Source organism: Homo sapiens, chromosome 12 (assembly GCF_000001405.40).
Source record: "Homo sapiens chromosome 12, GRCh38.p14 Primary Assembly".
Taxonomy (NCBI): Eukaryota; Metazoa; Chordata; class Mammalia; order Primates; family Hominidae; genus Homo; species Homo sapiens.
The window spans coordinates 62,529,639-62,551,454 of NC_000012.12; the positions used below are offsets into that span (position 1 = coordinate 62,529,639).

General features: G+C 35.4%; 1 protein-coding gene and 1 pseudogene across 15 annotated transcripts in view; one reads left to right on the forward strand and one right to left on the reverse strand.

Annotated features, from left to right (window-relative positions):
• Positions 1-21,816, forward strand: part of MON2 (MON2 regulator of endosome-to-Golgi trafficking) — a 133,651-nt gene that overhangs the window by 62,813 nt on the left and 49,022 nt on the right. For 7 of the 15 annotated variants that reach the window (XM_017019045.2, XM_017019043.2, XM_017019044.2 and 4 more), the window contains 13 exons: positions 2,800-3,032; positions 5,207-5,288; positions 5,887-6,071; positions 7,513-7,625; positions 7,964-8,068; positions 8,458-8,538; positions 8,614-8,687; positions 8,777-8,867; positions 13,459-13,560; positions 15,128-15,130; positions 15,260-15,370; positions 17,259-17,434; positions 20,030-20,192. In XM_017019045.2, coding sequence (XP_016874534.1) covers positions 2,800-3,032; positions 5,207-5,288; positions 5,887-6,071; positions 7,513-7,625; positions 7,964-8,068; positions 8,458-8,538; positions 8,614-8,687; positions 8,777-8,867; positions 13,459-13,560; positions 15,128-15,130; positions 15,260-15,370; positions 17,259-17,434; positions 20,030-20,192 — 1,519 coding nt within the window. Of the gene's footprint in view, positions 1-2,799; positions 3,033-5,206; positions 5,289-5,886; positions 6,072-7,512; positions 7,626-7,963; positions 8,069-8,457; positions 8,539-8,613; positions 8,688-8,776; positions 8,868-13,458; positions 13,561-15,127; positions 15,131-15,259; positions 15,371-17,258; positions 17,435-20,029; positions 20,193-21,816 lie in introns of those variants that run through there. The other 8 variants (XM_047428542.1, NM_001278472.2, NM_001278469.3 and 5 more) reach the window with 3 other exon arrangements.
• RNU6-399P (RNA, U6 small nuclear 399, pseudogene) lies at positions 15,944-16,041 on the reverse strand (annotated as a pseudogene).

The following is a 21,816-nucleotide window of genomic DNA, read 5'->3' on the forward strand; positions in this document are numbered from 1 at the left end:
CCATTACTACTACCTAATTCCAGAAAGTTTTCATCACCCCTAAAAGAAACCTCATACCCATTAGCAGTCATTTCCCAATCCCCCTTCTTCTAGCTCCTTAGCAACCACTAATCTGCTTTCTGCATCTATTGATTTGCCAATTCTGGATATTTCATATAAATGGAATCACACAATAAATGTTATTTTGTGTCATACTTCTTTGATGCAACATAATTTTTTTCAACTGTTATGTAATAAATGTACATATTTTCAGGGTAAATGTGATATTTTGATACATTTATATAATGTGTAGTTATCAAATCAGGGTAATTGTGTTATCACCTCAAACATTTATCTTTTCTTTATGGTGGGAACATCTGAATTCGTGTGTTCCAGGTATTTAAAAATATGCAATAGATTATTGTTAAGTGTAGTTACCCGACTGAACTGTTAGATGCTAAATTTTATTCCTGTCTGTATAACTGTATTTTTGTACCTATTAATCAACCTCTCTTTACCCCCAAACCTCCACCCTTCCTGGCCCCTGGGAATCACCAATCTGCTTTCTACTTTAATGAGATCCACTTTTTTAGCTCCCACATCAGTATAATTTTTTTTTTTTTTTTTTTTTGAGACGGAGTCTCGCTCTGTCACCCAGGCTGGAGTGCAGTGGTGTGATCTTGGCTCACTGCAAGCTCTGCCTCCCAGGTTCATGCCATTCTCCTGCCTCAGCCTCCCGAGTAGCTGTGACTACAGGTTCCTGCCACCATGCCCGGCTAATTTTTTGTATTTTTTAGTAGAGACAGGGTTTCACCGTGTTAGCCAGGATGGTCTCGATCTCCTGACCTCGTGATCCACCTGCCTCAGCCTCCCAAAGTGCTGGGATTACAGGCATGAGCCACCGTGTCCGGCCCAGCATAATGTTTTGAAGGTTCATCTGTGTTGAGAATGTGTTCATACTTTATTCCTTTATATGTCTGAATGATATTCCAATATATGGAATCACTTTTTTTAAGTTAATTGATGCATATTGGGTTATTTTCACTTTTGTTTATTATGAATAATACTACCATGAGCATTTGTCTGTAAGTTTTTGCATAGACATGTGTTTTCATTTCTGTTGGGTATACAACTAGTAAGTGGAATTGCTGGGTTATATGGTCACTCTATGTTTACATTTTTGAGGAAGTGCCAAACTCTTTTCCCAAGCAACTATATCATTTTACATTCCTACCAACAATGTGTGAGGAGGGTTCAGATATCTCCACATCCTCAGCAATGCTTGTTAATCTTTTTTATCGTAGTCATCCCAGTGAGTATGAAATGATATCTTACCATGCTTTGATTTGCATTCCCTAATTACTGGTGACAAGCATCTTTTTGTGTGCTTCTTGGCCATTTATATGTCATGTTGGGCGAAATGTCTATTCAGATTCATTGCTCCTTTTTAATTGGATTGTCTTTTTCTTATTTAATTTTAAGAGTTATATATTCTAGATGCCTGTCTCTTATCAGATATGTGATTTGCAAAAGTTTTCTTTCATTCTGTGGGTCTTTTCATTTTCTTGATTGCTGCTTTTTGAAGTACAATTGTTTTTAATTTTGATGAATCTAATTTATCAATTTTTTCCTTTGTTGCTTGTGCTTTTGGTGTTATATCTAACAAACCTTTGCCTAATCCGAGGTAGTGAAGATTTTTACCCATGTTTTCTTCTAAGAGTTTTTATAGATTTAGCTCTTACATTTAGATCATTGATTCATTTTGGAGTTAATTTTGCATATGGTGTGAGATAGGACCATCACTCTTCTGCATGTGAATATCCAGTTGTTCCAGAATCATTAGTTCTTTGTCAATTGAATTACTCTTTTTTCCAGGAATTATTTTGCCAGATGTCAATTTTAAGAGGTTTAGAACCATAGTTCACTACCTGCCATGATTTAAAACAGATTTATTGTCCTTCCTTCTGAAAACTTTCTCCTAACTATGGGGTAAAAAATTGCTCCGCAGTTTGAACTTGACACACTGATGCTCTTATTCTCACCTTGTTGGCAGATTGTATTTGAAATGATAGGTGAGCTGGGCATCTCACAGCATGAAAAGCATCTTCCTCTTCATAGGAGTGATTTGATTTGATGGCATCTTATTTTTTTTTTATTTTTTATTTTTTTTGAGACAGAGTGTCACTCTGTTGCCCAGGCTGGAGTGCAGCGGCGCAATCTCGGCTCACTGCAAGCTCTGCCTCCTTGGTTCATGCCATTCTCCTGCCTCAGCCTCCCGAGTAGCTGAGACTACAGGCACCTGCCACCACGCCTGGCTAATTTTTTATATTTTTAGTAGAGACAGGGTTTCACTGTGTTAGCCAGGATGATCTTGATCTCCTGACCTCGTGATCCACCCACCTCGGCCTCCCAAAGTGCTTGGATTACAGGCGTGAGCCACCACGCCCGGCCAATGGCATCTTATTTTTAAGGCACAAGTCAGAGTTTAAGAAGTTTTATCTCATTGTATTTTGCATGTCAGTCTTAATTTTTCTAATATCTAATATTTAATGAAAACATTGGCACAACTCAGGGGAGAATGAGAAGTAAATTATTAAAATAATTAGTTATGGCAGTGGTCAGGCCTTAATTTTTCTAATCAGGTTTTTAGAATACCATGAAGAGATCTCTTCCCTAAATGAAAGAAATTTGGTAATGTCCCTTTATTTTTTGCTATTCTGTTAATCTTAATTTCTATAGTCTGTAAATTGTAGAAAATAGTTTTATGTATTTTTTTTGTTGTGGCTTCTCATTAGTATTCTATATTTTTCATAATTTCAGCTTAGAAATGTTGGACAAAGTTGAGCCTCCAACTATACCTGAAGGTTACGCCATGTCTGTGGCATTCCATTGTTTGCTAGACCTTGTTCGTGGAATCACAAGTATGATTGAAGGAGAGCTAGGAGAGCTTGAAACAGAATGTCAAACCACCACTGAAGAAGGTTCTTCACCAACACAGTCGACAGAACAGCAGGATTTACAGTCAACATCAGACCAAATGGATAAGGAAATTGGTATGAGTCTGTATTTTTAATTTTTATTGGAAATAATTTGAAATTTACAATTTGCAAAAATTGTAGTCTTTATAAATCTTTCACCCTGACTTCTCAAGTGTTAACCACTTTCCCACATTTACCTTACCATTTTCTTGAATTATATACATGTGACTATACTTTTTTCTGACCTATTTATAGAAAAAGTTGCAGACATGATGCCGTATTACTACCCTTTAATGCATCAGTGTGTATTTTTTCAAAATAAGGTTAGTCTCCTGTGTATCATAGTACAATCACCATCAGAAATTTAACATCAATACAATATTATCATCTAACTCCAGGTCTCATTCAAATTTTGCCAGTTGCCCTAGTGATGTCCTTTTATGTGTTGAATTTAGTTGCCATGTCTCAACTTGGAAGTTTCTTAGTTTTTCCTTGTTTTATATGACCTTACTTTTTTGAGTACAAGTCAGTCAGTTTGAGTTTGTGTTGTGTTCCTTCATAATTACATTCAGCTTATTCATTTTTGACAGGACTGGCACAGAAATGTTGCTGTGCTGTACTTACTGTATCATTACATTAGGAAGCATACTACAGTATCAATTTGTGTCATTATTGGAGATGCTCACTTCTATGAGTTGGTTAATACAATGTCAGCCTGGTTTCTTCAGTGTACAGTTAATTATTAACTTTTTGTGGAAAAATACTTTCAGATTGCTACTACAAAAGAGTGCTTTCCCTTCTGCATTTTTTTATTTTTTAAAAATTATTCACTTATATTAGTGTAGATTCATGGATTCCTATTTTATTCAGAGGATTATAGTCTTTATTATTATTTGGTTTGATGCTCAGATTGTTCCCAACATGGCCAATGGGACCTCTTTCAAGATGACCCGTGTGTCCTTTGGACATGTCCCATGCCCTTTTGACATTCTCTGAGCACTTCCTATTTGATAGAACAAGATGTTCCAGGCTGATCTTGGATGATTCTTGTCCATCCCAGGTGTCAGTCATTTCTCCAGGAAGTCCTGGTTCCTTTTAGTGGAGAATAGTATTGAAACGAACACAGGTATACTAGGTATGCTTTTCACCACTTGGATAGGAAATACATAGCCACATACACACACCCCCACACACAAGCACACGTCTCTGTACATTTCTAAAATGTCTGTTTCTCTATATTGAATTACCATGACATCACACTAGTTTCTTCAGTTCCAGTTCAGTACCACAAGGTTTATTTTTAACTTTCTGTATTTGTAATTCCCTTCTCCAACAGTGTTGGAACCTGCTCACATTTTGCTCAGTGTATTTACTTATTTGCTTGATTCTCAGTGTATGTAATCAGTCTCCTGGCTGAGCCAGTTTGTTACACTGCGCCCTGCCCTCACTCCAACTGGTCACACAGGCTGAGAAAGTTTGGGTTGATGAAGGCAAAGGGAAAGGAAAGGATATCAGCTGGGCATAGTGGCATGTGCCTATAATCCCAGCTACCTGGGAGGCTGAGGCAGGAGGATTGCTTGTGCCCAGGAGTTTGAGTCCAGTCTGAGTAACATAACAAGACCCTGTCTCTTAAAAAAAAAAATGGCTGGGCGTGGTGGCTCACGCCTGTAATCCCAGTAGTTTGGGAGGCCGAGGTGGGTGGATCACGAGGTCAGGAGTTTGAGACCAGCCTGACCAACATGGTGAAACCCTGTCTTTACTAAAAATACAAAAATTAGCCAGGTGTGGTGGCGTGTGTCTGTAATCCCAGCTACTCAGGAGGCTAAGGCAGGAAAATCTCTTGAACCCAGGAGGCGAAGGTTGCAGTGAGCCAAGATCATGCCACTGCACTCCAGCCTGGGCAACAGAGCAAGACTCCATCGCAAAAAAAAAAAAAAAAAAAAAAAAATATATATATATATATATATATATATTTTATATATATATATAAAATTTAACGTGTACAGAAAGATCTTACCATAGATATTTTACAACAACTTATTTTTAAGACTTCTTCAAGCCTGAAACTATAGTACGGCTTCTGAGTTTTCGTTCTTTTAGATTTTTAAATACTGAATATTAGATTTAATAATTAAGTTGTTAATGGAATATTTGACATATTGTCTGGGAAAATTTTAGAATTTCACATATTAATACATATTGTGCTATCTATAATTAAAATTAAATATTGTATGTTTTTTTCCTTTAAGTTAGTAGGGCTGTTTGGGAAGAAATGGTGAATGCCTGCTGGTGTGGTCTTCTTGCTGCACTCTCACTCCTTCTTGATGCCAGGTATTAAGTCTTTGTAAGTTTTATATTGAACTGTGTCAGTTAAAAAAAACACATTAAAATGGTTTACTTACATTTGTCCCTAGAATTATTTTCTAATATTAGTTTTTTATATGTGTGAAACATTATTCTTTTTCCCTCATCCCCCTTCCTCATTCTGTCCTTGCCCTGCCCCAAGCCACCAGAATTGTCATGATGTTTTAATGGAAAATACAGTCCTAAAATTACAGAATGCCTTTTTCATTTCAAGACTTACAACTACTTTTGCAATTATGATTATATTTAATTTCTTTGTTCTTTTTCTTTAGGATTTAAAAATTTACTGGTTTCAAAATGCTTGATATTTTAAGCTAAATCTTTATGTTCTTGGTCATTTTCTTCAGTAATAAATACATGTATTATTATTCATTGCTTTTACCCAGTTCAAATTTTTGAGGTTATGTTAATAGATTAAAATTCCTTCTTAAGTATATTGGTAATATTTTGACAATATTTTTGTATAGATTTTCTTAAAATGTCACTGAATACTTAATTCCACATCATGCTTTACAATGTAATTAAAAATAAGTTAATCAGATTAAATAAAATACTTTCTTTTCAGCACAGATGAAGCTGCCACTGAGAATATTTTAAAAGCTGAACTGACTATGGCTGCTCTTTGTGGAAGACTGGGCCTTGTAACTTCAAGAGATGCCTTTATAACTGCAATATGCAAAGGTTCCCTGCCTCCCCATTATGCTCTTACTGTATTGAATACCACCACTGCAGCTACACTTTCCAACAAATGTAAGACAGGCTTACTCAAAATTCTCTCTATGTAGTGGGATGATATGGTGTAGACAGAAGATTATAAACATCTGAGTTTAAGTCTCTGCTTTTTCACATACTGACTGTGTGACCTTGGGGAAATTAATGTCCCTGAGAGCTCTTTAAAAATATGGGGTGGGGGGTGGGGGGTGGGCATGGGATATCCAAAAATCCAGAATCTAAAATGCTGCAAAATCTAAAACTTGTTGAGCACCAACATGACAAAGGAAAGGCTCATTGGATAAGTATATAATGTGAATAGGTATATAATGCAAACATAAGTATTTACAAATATATTATGCAAATAAATGCATAAGTATATATAATATAAATATTCAAAAATCTGAAATCGGAAACAGTTGTGATCCTAAGCATTTCGGATAAGGGATACTCAACTTGTAATACCAATTTTAAACAATAATTGTGAGAGGAAAATAAGATAAATCTGGAAGTCCTTTGTAAACTATGAGATACCATTGAAATGGTGATTGTTATTTTTTTTTAATGGAACTAGTAGAACAGTAATGTTTGTAACCACTTAGGTTAAACTTACATTCAAAAATTTATTTTCTTGTTGAATTCTTTAAGAATACTTGTTTGTTACATGTAATATAAATTTCAGTGTAATATTTAGGGTTTTTTTGTTTATACTTTTTTAATGAGACAGGATCTCGCTATATTGCCCAGGCTGATCTTGAACTGGGCTAAAGCAGTCCGGCCTCAGCCTCCCAAGTAGTTGTTATTACATGCTAATACTCAGTTTTCAAACTGAAAATGTATTGCTCTCTAAATTAAAAAACATACCAGGGATACATGTTTAAAATACTTAGAATGTGTTCGAGTTCTGTATTGCTTATGAAGAAATCTACCAAAGTTATATAATTTTATGTTGTATAGAAAATTACTTAATATTTGCTTAACTTGTCTTGGTTTTTGTACCTCATGAAGTTTTTGTGTTTTTTTGTTTTTTTTTTTTTGAGACAGAGTCACTCTGTCGCTCAGCCTAGAGTGCAGTGACCCAGATCTTGGCTCACTGCAACCACCGCCTCCTGAATTCAAGCAATTCTCCTGCCTCAGCCTCCTGAGTAGCTGAGACTACAGAAGTGCATCGACATACCTGGCTAATTTTTGTATTTTTAGAAGAGTCAGGACTTCACCATGTTGGCCAGGCTGGCCTTGAACTCCTGACCTCAAATGATCTGCCTGCCTCAGCCTCCCAAAATGGCTGGGATTACAGGTGTGAGCCACTGTGCCCAGCCCCTCATGAGTTTTTTAAATGTTTTGATACAGATATTAGGTATTACTGATATTTAAATAAGTGTATGGCTAAACTTGGTTTAATCAAACTTTAAATATAACATTACTTTAAATGCAATATAAAAATATATTTTAATTATTTAGGCTTTCCTTTGTGTTCTAGCATATTCCGTTCAGGGCCAAAGTGTTATGATGATAAGTCCATCAAGTGAATCTCACCAACAAGTTGTGGCAGTGGGTCAACCTTTAGCAGTCCAGCCTCAAGGGACAGTAATGGTAATGTACTTGTATTTTTCTTGGTTATCAATTAGCTATCAAGGAAACTTGTTGTACCTATCTTTGTGTTTGCCAAAATGTGTCATACATTTATTTACTTTCTTTTACTAGAACTACTTTCTTAAACTAGAAGAAACTAGTTTATGCAGTTGACATTACTGTAACCAATATGATAATACAACTTTTAATCAAATGAATTGTTCCTTATAAAACCTTCCAAATCTTTTTCTTAATTTTTTCTTTAAAAAAATCTTTTAACACATTAATGCTACTTTATAAGCTTTTAATTTTTAAGAATACATAACAATTATTGAAAATGTATCCTTTTTAAAATATAGCTGACTTCCAAAAATATCCAGTGTATGAGGACTTTACTTAACTTGGCGCATTGCCATGGGGCTGTTCTTGGAACATCATGGCAACTTGTCTTGGCAACTCTTCAGGTATGTAAAAGTGTCTAGGTCAGAGATTAGTGTTGTTTTTATATATAATTGCTAACAGTTAGACTAAGCAATGTATTTTGATGTTTTGGACAGGCCTAAAAAATAGATAGTAAGTATGAAAAAAGAGAAGTTAGAAAGGGAAAAAGATGTGACTCATATTGTAGGAAGTGGTGGAATGCTTCTCATAATGGCCTAAGCTCTGCTGCATATGTTCGATATCATTAATTATTTTATATGAATGTTAATTAGTGATTTTAGTTTTAGGTTTTAAAAACCTACTACTGATTTTAATTTTGGTTGCTAGAAGTTACTACTGATTTTAATTTTAGTTATTGGACCTTTTATACTTTTGTAAAGTTATTTGTTTTGATTTTTTTTTAATTTTACAGCATCTTGTGTGGATTCTGGGATTAAAGCCTAGTAGTGGCGGTGCCTTGAAACCTGGGAGAGCTGTAGAAGGACCCAGTACAGTAAGCTCTAGTCTTTCTTACCCAATTAGTGCATCCCAAAGTGTCATATATTACATTTAATTTTATTCTTCTCAGGTTCTAACAACAGCAGTGATGACAGATTTACCAGTGATTTCCAATATACTTTCAAGATTGTTTGAAAGCTCACAGTAAGAGTCAGTTTTTTTAATTGATAAAAACATTGTTATTTGTTATATATTTTAGATCAAGATGTCTTATTTCTTCATTTCCTTTTTAGGTATCTTGATGATGTATCACTGCATCATTTAATAAATGCACTTTGCTCCTTGTCTCTAGAAGCAATGGATATGGCCTATGGAAATAATAAGGTGTGATATTCTACCTTTCTGTTTTAGATATGATACATTAGTTATATAAGATGTACATCCATTATGATCTTAGTGTTTTACTAGTAGAACTAACACTCAGATTGTATGGTAACCATACTCTGTTGGGTTTTTACCACTTATCGTTATTTGTCGAAGGAGTAAAAAGGACATGATTTGGCTTGTGATATGTCTAAATATGTCATATGATTTTAAGTTGTGTTCATTTCTCTTATATACTGAACATTTTAAAAATATTTTTATAAAATAATATAATACAGTTTTATAGGTTATATAAAATGTCATGATAATACTTGTAATTACAATTTATGATTGGGGTAATATAAGATTTAAATTAAAGAATGTTTGTCTCAGTTTCCTTTGCTTTCATTGGGATGGAAAGTAAGGAGCTAATCATTTCTTTCTAAAGGTAATGATTCTCCTTATCTTGAAAATTTAAATTTTTATTTGTTCATTGATTAAATGAATAAAACGGTACTTTTGAATATTAACATTCAAGAACATTTCTTTCTATACTACTAAAAATATCACTTTCTGTTATACTTGGAAAGCACAGGAACAGTTGTATTTATTTATATGTTAGAAATAATTAAACAAAATACTTTCCACATTTTAAAATCAATAAATATAGTTTGACTATTTACAAATAAGTGAAAATAACCCAAAATATGATTTAAAAGCTAAAATTTATATAATTTAAAGCTATAACATGTAACTGTAGCATTCAAAATTATGTTGTCTGCCTAGTCTTTTTTTTTTTTTGAAACGGAGTCTCGCCTTGTCGCCCAGGCTAGAGTGCAGTGGCGCAATCTCGGGTCACTGCTCTGCCTCCCAGGTTCATGCCATTCTCCTGCCTCAGCCTCCCAAGTAGCTGGGACTACAGGTGCCCGCCACCACGCCCGGCTAATTTTTTTATTGTATTTTCAGTAGAGACAAGGTTTCACTGTGTTAGCCAGGATGGTGTCGATCTCCTGACCTTGTGATCCGCCCGCCTCAGCCTCCCAAAGTGCTGGGATTACAGGCATGAGCCACCGCGCCCGGCCATCTGCCTAGTCCTTAAGTGTAATTTTGGGTACTGTGGCTTGTTATCTTGGCTCTTATGACTCATTTAAAGATTGGTGAAGAAAGTCTCATTAGAGCATAGTTTCATATATTATAGTACCTAGCTAGATAATTATATAAACATGCAGGTGTTTGAAAGTATGTATTATGGCTGGGCATGGTGGCTTACGCCTGTAATCCCAGCACTGCAGGAGGCCGAGGCAGGCAGATCACTTGTGGTCAGGAGTTCGAGACCAGCCTGGCCAACATGGTGAAACCCCGTCTCTACTAAAAATACAAAAATTAGCTGGACATGCTCAGTTGAACCCAGGAGGCGGAGGTTGCTGTGAGTCGAGATTGTGCCACTGCGCTCCAGCCTGGGCGACAGAGCAAGACTCTGTCTCAAGAAAAAAAGAAAATATATATTATAGTTTGTTCTAAATCAGGGCAAGGATAATATATAATGAAGTAATTAATTTTTTGATACCTTTAATAATTCTACATATTTGAGATTCTTAACACAAAACTATAATATTTTTAATAAAGTACCTTAATGAAATCTAAGCAAGTTTATATGGTAATGTTTTCAGAATCTATGTATTTATTCAATAAGCACAGTAGGCTTACTGTGTACATGACGATCTGCTCAGAGACATTAAGAAATAAGAGGTTTCTACTTTCAAAGAGTATATAAGCTACTTGGTTCATAGTTAGTGACAATTACTATGGTATGAGAGTCTCAATAAATAATACAGATATTAAATGACATGAGACTTACTCTCTGAATTTTTAGTTCCTTGTTATATAAGATGTTATTGGTATATGTTTCTATTAAGATGAATTAAGATTAATCAAGATGAACTAGTGTGATTGGAGATGTATATTGAAAGATTGGTAGGATTTAGGTAGGAAAGGGCAGGTTAATGTAAATCAAAAGAAAAATATTGTAGGAAATCATGACCTATAAGAAAAAAATAGGAGATTTGATGATTAATCATTTATTTTTAACTTTCAGTAGTGCAATTTCAGAGAGTGGTAGCAACAGATACGATTTTTAAGGAAGGCTTGGGAAGAACAGTTGTGGAGAAAATGGATACGCTGAGTAAAATAGAGATAATTTCTTTGAAAATGGATTTACATGTCTCCCTTTTAGGATTTAATTTTGTAAAGTGAAGTAAATATGGAATGGAAATTAAAACTTTATAAAAATATTCAAGTATAAATTTTAGAAAAGTATTCAACATAAACCTTATATTTTTAGATGGAGGCTATAAAAAGTTTATTCAGTTATGCCATCTATAAAAGTTATTATAAATATGCAGATATTAAAATTAGTGGGAAAGTTTCTATATTATTGAAAAAAGAATGTTCATCTAAATCGACTGTTCTGAGTGAGTTAAATATTCTAGGGATTAAAGATGTATATATCAGTGTTCTTTAGGTGTGGCTTTACAGTGATCAGCATCTCGTTTTTGATCCTCGTTGCAGGAATTTGTGCCAATGTGTTGAGGAAGTAACTTAAGATAAAGCTTGCAGGCTGAGCGTGGTGGCTTACGCCTGTAATCCCAGCACTTTGGGAGGCTGAGGTGGGCGGATCACCTGAGGCCAGGAGTTTGTGACCAGCCTGGCCAACATAGGGAACCTCTTCTCTACTAAAAGTACAAAAATTAGCCTGGCATGGTGGTGCACACCTATAATCCCAGCTGTTCTCATGGCTGAGACATAAGAATCACTTGGGAGGTGGAGGTTGCTGTGAGCCAAGATTGCGCCATTGCACTCCAGCCTGGGCAACAGAGTGAAACTCTGTCTCAAAAAAAAAAAAAAAAAAGATAAAGCTTGCAAATTCTTTCTTAGAAGAGGATGATACTTTTATAGTTACATTAACAAGCACAGTATAACAACAACAAAAATATTAAAGCAGCTGTTGTTCACTGTTTACTGTATGCCAAGCACTAACTTATTTTATCATTTAAAACAACTCTGTGAGATTTAGTGGTAATATACCCTTTTACAGATGAAAATATGAAAAATAGCTTAAGTGACCTGCCTGAGGTTATGTACTTACTTATTGGAAGAGCTTGGATTTGAATTCACTTATGTCTCATTCCAAAGCTCTGTTCTTAAATACTTTGCTGACTTTTGGTGTGCATCAGAAACAGCTGTGTAGTTTTTTAAAAAGTGCAAATGCGAGGGCCACATTCTAGGTTTTTGAGTAAGAATCTTCAGGTGTGAGCTTTGGATACCTATACATATTCTTTTACATGATTCCTGAGTATATCCTAGTTAAAATAAGTAAGAGGAAGAGGAGGAATAAAGAAGTAATATTAGGCAACATTGTGGGAGAACTTATATGCCAGGCACTTTCTAACATTAGATAGTTTTCTATATTATTATTATCTTCATTTTTTAGGTTTAAAAAATAAAAACTTTCAGAAGAGGTACATAGGTTACCCAAGGTTATATAGCTATTAAGTAGTAGAGTTGAGATGAGATCCCAGTTAAAACTTCATAGACATCATCTTAACTACTATACCATATTCTCCCTAGAATCATGAATTTTCCTACCACCCAAATTTTTAGGGTGCTTTCCACATTAGCGCATGCGGGAAGGGTCAACCTGACCATATTTGTCTTAAAACCCCAATATACTTGGTTCACTGGCTTCTGCTAGAAAGGAAGATATTATCACACATTTCCCTGTTAGATTTTTATTAGCACTGTAAAAATGTTAAGAATATAGACTCATAAAAAATCTTTCTCTTTAAAAATTATTCTCCTAAATTGGCTTTTTTATTCAGTTGTCTTGTCTTTTTTCTAAGACAATGTCTCTGTTTGAAATACCACGCCATCCACTCAAAAATACTCATGGCTTTCATCAGCTGAATTTGCATTTAAACATGTTTATCACTTTCATTAATATTAGATTAGAGATAACTGCCCTTTGATCTTTTCTGAAACCATTCTTGTGACACATGGACCAGGTACTCTAATTTAGCCATGTATAATGTACCCTGGTTCCCTTTCTGATTATTGATATGTCAGGGACTATAGAAAACTGTTTTGTCTTCGTGTCCTCTGCTGTTCTGTTAGTGTCTGGACTGACAGCCCTGATCTCTGCTATAGTCTTGATTTCATTTTCCTTTTCCTTTATCTCTGTTGTCTCTTTTTCCCTACTTCTTGACATTCACACATAAAACCTGGTCATTTTAAGACTGCTGATAAGAATGCTTCTTTCCTTCTGGTTGGAAGACTAGCCATTCTATGTGTCTAGTATCATTTTTGGATTTTCATCCCTCCACTATTAAAGCATTCTCTTCCTAACCAAATTTTCTAATTAGGAGCTATTTTGGATACTTAAGGTTGACAGGAAGCCTTGTCTTTGATAACTGAGGTTTTGTTATAAATATAACTTTATACTAACCACTCAATTTTAATTTCAGTCATGCTCTTCAGAGTATTCTCAGTTTTATTCATAGTCTAATTACTCAGAATTCTCCTTATACTATCAAAATACAATGTATTTTCTCCCTAGGAACCATCTCTTTTTGCTGTTGCCAAATTGTTAGAAACTGGTTTAGTTAATATGCACCGAATAGAAATTCTGTGGAGACCTCTGACTGGCCATCTACTTGAGGTAAATTCTCTTTCTTAAATATATTTAATTTTTTAATAAACATTTGCACACTGAGCTAATGATTCTAAATAGCCATTTGAAAAATCAGCATTAACTTTTTTTCCCCCTTTCCTGACTGTGTACTTACTTATGTTTGTACATTTTATCAAGGACTAAAGTTGTTTTGTAATTTATTTCATGAAGGAATTGGTTGCTTTTATTGGCTGAAAATGGGTGACATTTTAAAGTGAGAAATATCAGTGAAGTCAGCTGTTACCTTGAGATGCCTTTCTTTTATCATACAGTCTCTTGATCCACCTCACCTCAGTTTCAGATAGTTCTGAAACTTCAAGGCAGTTGGGGCATAGAGTTAATAGTAAACACTGCTCATTTATAGCCTTTGCTATCATCATGAGATAGCTTTTTTTTTTCTCTCTCTCTCTTTTTTGAGACGGAATCTAACTCCGTCACCCAGGCTGGAGTGCAGTGGTGAGGTCTCGCCTCACTGCAACCGCCGCCTCTCAGGTTCAGGCAATTCTCCTGCCTCAGCCTCCCGAGTAGCTGGGATTACAGGCGCATACCACCACACCTGGCTTATTTTTGTATTTGTAGTAGAGACGGGGTTTAACCATATTAGCCAGGCTGGTCTTGGAACTCCTGACCTCAGGTGATCCACCTGCCTTGGTCTCCCAAAGTGCTTGGATTACAGGCGTGAGCAACTGCTCCTGGCCTTGATTATGAGATAGCTTTCTGTGAAGGGGAAAACCTGTTTGGTAACACTAACTATAGATAGTGCTGGAGAATTTTACCTGGATTTACATTGTCTTACATTCAGGTTGAGGTAATTCTTAATAAATAGTTCCTGCTTAAAAACAAGCTGCTTCTGCCAGTATGTGTGTTTGTGTACAGTTTAGGTTTAGGTTACCATAGTTCTTTTGTGTTATTTAGAAACCTAGGAAAGGTATTATTCTTAGTAAGAAAAACAGGCTGGCTGCAGTAGCTCACACCTATAATCCCAGCACTTTGGGAGGCTGAGGTGGGAGGATTACTTAAGCCCAGGAGTTCAAGACCAGCCTGGGCAACATAGGGAGACACCATTTCTACAAAAAATTTAAAAAATTAGCCGGGCTTGGTGGTATATGCTTGTGGTTCTAACTACTTGGGAGGCTGAATGGGGAGAATTGCTTGAACCCAGGAAGTTGACGCTGCAGTGATCTGTGATCGTGCCACTGCATTCCAGACTGAGTAACAAAGTGAGAGACTGTGTCTCAAAAATAATAATAATAAAATAAATAAGAAAAACAGATGTACATGAGCTTTCCCCCCATTTTATTGGAATTACTTTTATGAATGATTAAAGGCTATGTGCAGATGCCTTCATTAATGGATGGTCTCATCAAAGGGCAACTCTGTGACATATTATTTGATTAATGAGGGTAAACTTAATTAAGAACCTTGGTATTAGCTTGCTTCTTTTGTTTACCCTGATATATAATTTACTGTTATGAAATCCTTTCTTCTCTGTGAATTGTTTTAGTTTCATCTTTTTTCTTCTGTCTCTCTATTGCTTGCTCTTGCCCTTATTCAGAAGGTAAGCTAACTTACATTTTGGGTGTAATTTTTCTTCCAACCCTTATTGAACATTTGATATAAAATGTAAAATTGATGTGTGATTCATAGCTTAAGTATACAAATTAAACTTAATTTTATATACCTTCAGGTCTGCCAGCATCCAAACTCTCGAATGAGAGAATGGGGAGCAGAAGCTTTAACTTCTCTTATTAAAGCAGGATTAACATTTAACCATGATCCTCCACTCTCACAAAACCAGGTAATAAAAACCTTACTTTTTAAAAAGAATACTCAATATAAAATTATCCTCCTCCATATGTGATTTTTTTCTTATCAGGTAGATCATATTCTAAGAGTAGGGTTTTTAACTTAATATTCTATTTTATATGTAGGCCCTGAATCTCTTACATAAGGTAAGAGATTTTTAGGGCTGTTTTCATAAAAAATTTTAAACATCTTGTGGATGACACTAACCTAAGTTAAATTACCTGGAATTGGTCTCACGTTCATAAGTTTTCCTCTTCATGCAGTGCTAAAGTGTTGTTTTGGAGCCTCTTTTGCTTTGGTCTTCACATGTCCCTGGATTTTTTTTTTTTCTCACTACCCTTACATGGGGAGAAAATAAGTGGCAGAAGAAACAAGCACAATGAAATAGATTTTTTATTTTAAAATAATTTTAAATTATGTTTTACTTCCAGAGTTTACTTTTGTCATGAATTCTTTGTCCTGACTCTCTATTATTTGTACCCACTTTTTAAAAAGTCTACCAAAGTTTTATTGTTTCATGACTGAGTAGGAATGAGGCATTTATTTATTTTTTAATTTTTTAAATAAAAATATGGAGTACATCATGAATTTGCATGTCATCCTTGCCCGGGGGCTGTGCTCATCTCTGTATCATTTCATTATATGTGCTACTGAAGCAAGCACAGAATGAGGCATTTAATAACCATTCCAATTGCCCTCATCATCTTATTGTATTGTAATTGTACTCTAGAAATTGATTTAACACATAATTATTGAATACCCCACCTGGAATAAGATGATGAACAAGACAGAAAAGATATTATAAAGCTTATAGAGCTTACATTTAATGATTTCATATGTTCTTCTGCAACAATTTGAATTTTTTTTGAAAAAATAATACCCTTTTCCATTTATTTTGATATCCTCAATGTCCAGCTTAATACTTAGTGCATAGTGAAAGCTTAGAAATGTTTATTCAGTGAATGAACCAAATAAATGAATCCCCTAGAGAGAAGAAAGTTAAGAATGAAGGGTTTTCAGATGCTGAAAGGGATAGACAGAGTGCTTTTTTTAAGTCTCCAACAAATTTCGTGGTTTTATGTCATCTTTGTTAATATCTGCTACATTTATTCATTTTTTATAAGTATTATAGCTTCTATTACTACATCACACTTGAGAATTTTACATTTAAATACATATGATATACATTAATAAAGTAAATGAAAGGTCATTTTAGAGATTGGGAATTGATTACCTCTCTCCAAATATATCTAGAGATATATTTCCTTTAGTGAAATTTATTTCTATTATTTATCAGATCTATAATTAGTATCTTTAAAGTAAGATAACTACCCATTTATCTAAAATCTAACATCTTGAAAGTTGATTTTTTCTCTTATTTAAAAATATAGATTTGTCTTTAATAATTACTGTTAGATAAATGATATTTGATGTTTATTTAGGTAGAAAAATTCCAAACGGGCATGGTGGCTCACACCTGTAATCCCAGCACCTTGGGAGGTCAAGGTGGGCGGATCACCTGAGGTCAGGAGTTCAAGACCAGCCTGACCAACATGGTGAAACCCCATCTCTACTAAAAATACAAAGATTAGCCGGGCATGGTGGTGCATGCCTGTAATCCCAGCTACTCAGGAGACTGAAGCAGGAGGATCACTTGAACCAAGGAGACGGAGGTTGCAGTGAGTCAAGATTGTGCCACTGCACTCCTGCCTCCTGGGTGACAGGACGAGACTCCATTTCAAAAAAAATAAATAAAACATAAAAATATCTATTTCCCATAGTAGTCTGAATGGCGATGAATTTAAACTTGAAAAGCAACAGTAAAGCCTTCTTGTCTTTTTGGACTTCTCTTCCTAATTAGTTTCTTGCCCCCTTTTCAGAGGCTGCAGTTGCTTTTATTGAACCCGTTAAAGGAGATGTCCAATATTAATCATCCAGATATTCGACTCAAGCAGTTAGAATGCGTGTTGCAGATTCTGCAGAGTCAGGGAGACAGTCTTGGGCCTGGATGGCCATTAGTGCTTGGAGTCATGGGAGCAATCAGAAATGATCAAGGGTAAGTATTTAAAATTATTTGAGAAAAAATATGTATGAAAAATAAAATATAAATAAAATAAAATTAACATCAAAAAAGTGATAGAGGTAGAGAAGGACTCCATCCTAAAATCTTGAAATAGTGGTTATTTTTTTCATGTATGCGCTTCCTGCTTAAGGCTAAGATCTGTAATAGTTTTTCTTAACTCTACCCCTAAGTGGCTACAGGCAATTTTTAGGGATCACCTTTGGTTTGGAAAGATGGAAAAATTGCTCTTTATTTAACATTCATGCAAGAATACATGATTCTTACTTATAAGATACTTGAAACAATTAACAAATTTTATAACACATCCAAAGATTGGGCTGTTGTGTTTTGTTAAATTATTTGATAAGATGTGAATTAGCATTTAGGGCTTGACCTCCCTATATATATTAGGCAGTCAGAAATTGCTTTAAAGTAACTTTTTCATTACTTTTTAATTTATTAAACATTTATTCTGTGCAGAGTGTATTTCAAATACTATACATGGTAGTTATTCTGATTACACAGGTAAATAGCTCCTGCCCTAGACATAGAATCCTAGTGAGAAAGTATAGTTATACGCTGCCTAACGTTTCAGTCAACAACAGACCACATATATGATGGAGGTCCCATAAGATTTTAATACTCTGTTTTTACTGTACGTTTTCTATGTTTAGATATGTTTCGGTACATAAATACTTATATTATGTTACAATTGCTTACAGTATTCAGGACAGTAGCAAGCTGTACAGGTTTGTAGCCCAGGAGCAATAATATACCATATAGCCCCGGTGTGTAGTAGGTTATATCATCTAGGTTTGTGTCAGTAAACTCTGTGATGTTCATACAGCAACAGAATCGCCGAATGACACATTTCTCAGATCATATCCTCATCAGTAAGCAACACATGACTGTAGTTTGTTATGCCACAAAATAAGAAACCTTCAGCAGGAGGAGGACAGAGGCAAAATTATGAAGGAGATCTTATATGGTTATATAAATGATTTGAATTTATCCAAAATTCATGTGGGAGACATTTTGGGATTTTAAGCAGAGGAATGACTTAATCACATATGAATTTTATAGATATCACTGTGACAGCAGCATGGAAGGGAAGGTAGGAAATGAGAATGGCTACAAGTGCTCACTAGAAATAAGAGATGGATTTGAGCTACTTAACGGATTGACTGTAGCGAGGCATAGGGGAAAATAGCAATCAGGAGTGACTTCTAGATTTCTGACTTAGGCAGTTTAGTGGGGGATGGTAGTATCATTAACTAAATAGGGAAAAGACAAGGAAGAGCAAATTTGGAGGGGACATATGGACTTGTTTAACTTTTGGGGTAGGAGATTGCAGTGGAGAGATTAAGCAGACAGACATTGGATAGATTTTTCTGTAATTCTGCAGTATCACACTTTTGTTTTGATGACTAGTTCGGAAGTTGTAGACGACCAAGATGCTTGAGAATATTATGGAAAGTTAATTTTTCTTAAATATTTATAGTAATAAAATTCTTTACTACAAAATATTGAGATGCTTAAATTGAAGAATCAGCTTAGATCAAGCTTAAGTGTCTTCTCCCAACCTATAATGTGGTGTACTAAATAGGGCATTGTAGTAAGGGTATAATGAATTAATGGGTGTAAAACAGTTAGAAAGTATGTGACATACTAAGCACTCAGAGTATTAGCAATTATACTTATCATTTTCATTACTATTTTTTACCACCAGGATTTTTCTCCAAAACTAAATACTTCTTATTATCTTTATTTGAAATTCAAAATTTACTCTTTTCTCACTGACTGGATGTGGGTTTTTATATTTCTTTGGAGATTTAAATAAGATACAGTACGGATATAAAAGAATGAGGAGCTCTTTTTCAGTAAATTGTGTGTATTTACATGTACTGGACACTGTACTAGATATCAGGGATACAGTGAGGAGAAAAATAACTGTAGCAAACTTGCCATTCTCATTTATTGTCTAAGTTTTCTTTGGTTAGTTGGTATGAAATACAAATAGAAGTAATATGATGTTAATACTTTATTTTTAAATTTGTTTTTATTTCTTATTGCCTGTAAGCTTCTTTCTTTGTTTTTGTTAATTTGTTTAAGTAAGCATGTCTTTTTTACATTTATGTAAATGTTAAAATACTTTATGATCAATATTAGGAGTTTCTTGTTTAAATTCTGAAATAAAATTTTACTTCAAATTATTGTAAGATATGTATTTTTACACATTTCTTTTAAATGCATAAGTAAGGCTGGGTGTGGTAGCTCATGCCTGTAATCGTAGCACTTTGGGAGGCTAAGGCAGGAGGATCACTTGAGCCCAGGAAATTGAGACCAGCCAAGGCAACATAGTGGGACCCTGTCTCCACAAAAAAAAAAAAAAAAAGGGCATGGGGGTGTGCACCTGTAGTCCCAGCTACTGGGGAAGCTGAGGTGGGAGGATCACATGATCCAGGGAGGTTGAGAGTGAGGCATGATCGCACCACTGCACTCCAACCTGAGTGGCAGAGTGAGACCCTGTCTCAAAAATAAATAAATAAATAAAATAAGTGCATCTGTATACATTTCTTTTGTTTTCAGAGAATCCTTGATACGAACTGCATTCCAGTGTCTTCAGTTGGTTGTGACAGATTTTCTACCAACAATGCCTTGTACTTGCCTGCAAATAGTTGTAGATGTTGCAGGTAGCTTTGGCCTCCATAACCAAGAACTCAATATTAGTTTAACTTCAATAGGTTTATTGGTAAGTATCATTGTCCTTAGAATATAATATAATTTAGAAATCATTGTTATTCAGTTGGGAGTGAATGCTAAGCAAATATACTTTTAGCTCTTTGCAAATTGTTTATATGGCTTTTAAATTTCAAACTTACGTCTGGGTGAAGGATTAAATAACATCACTTAAATATTAATAACAAAATGTTTGAAATAATTTTCATACATTGAGCTGAAGTTTGGGTTTTACAGGGTTTGTCATGAAAGGGTTTAGTAAACAATAGTATATACAAGGGAAATCTTCAGTTGACTTTTATGTGAACCAATTACATTAGCCCCTGACAAGAAAATCAGCTTGTACTTTGAAGCCTTGAAGCCAAGCATTGACTTTTTATCTTTAGCCATGAAAGTCCTACATGACATCTTCAAGTACAAGGCTGTTTCAGGCTGGGCATGGTAGCTGATGCCTGTAATCCCAGCACTTTGGGAGGCTGAGGTGGGAGGATTGCTGAGGCCAGGAGTTTGAGACCAGGCTGGGCAATAAAATGAGACTCCCATCTCTACTAAAAATTAGCTGTGTATGGTGGTGCACACCTGTAGTCTCAGCTACATGGGAGGCTGGGATGGGAGGATTGCTTGAGCCCAGGAATTGGAGGCTGCAGTGAGCTATGATCACAGCACTGCACTCCAGCCTTGGCAACAGACCCAGACCTTGTCTCTGTAAAAAAAAATGATAATAATAAAAAGGCTGTTTTGTCTACATTGAAAATCTGTTGGTCAGTGTAGCCACCTTCATCGGTGATCTTAGCTAGATCTGGATAACTTGCTACAGGTTCTACATCAGCACTTGCTGCTTCACCTTGTACTTGTAGGTTATGGTGATAACGTCTTTTCTTAAACCTCATGAACTAGCCCCTGCTAGCTTCAGACTTTTCTTCTGCAGCTTCCTCACCTTGCTCAGCTTTTATAGAATTGAGGAGAATTAGGGTCTTTCTCTGGATTAGGCGTTGGCTTAAGGGAATCTTGTAGCTGGTTTGACCTTCTATCCAGACAGCTGAAAGTTTGTTGATACCATCAATAAGCCTGCTGTACTTTCTTCTTTCTTTCTTTTTTTTTTTTTTTTTTTTTTTTTCTGAGACGGAGTCTTGCGCTTGTTACCCAGGCTGAAGTGCAGTGGCATGATCTTGGCTCACTGCAACCTCTGCCTCCTGGGTTCAAGTGATTCTCCTGCCTCAGCCTCCCATGTAGCTGGAATTATAGGCGCCCGCCATGATGTACTTTCTTATAGTTTGTTTGTTCTTTGGAGTAGCACTTTTCGTTTCCTTCAAGAACTTATCCTGTGCATTCACAACTTGGCTCACTGGCACAAGAGGCCCAGGTTTTGGCCTGTCTTGATTTTCGACATGCCTTCCTCACTAAGCTTAATTATTTCTAGCTTTTGATTGAAAGTGAGACAAATGCGACTCTTCCTTTTACTTGAACACTTACAGGTCATTGTAGGGTTATTAATTGGCCTAATTTCACTGTTGTTGTATCTCAAGAAATAGGGAGGCCTGAGAAGAAGTAAAAAGATGAGGAAACAACCTGACGATGAAACAGTCAGAAAACTCACATTAAGTTTGCCATCTTACATAGGTGCGGCTCATGCACCC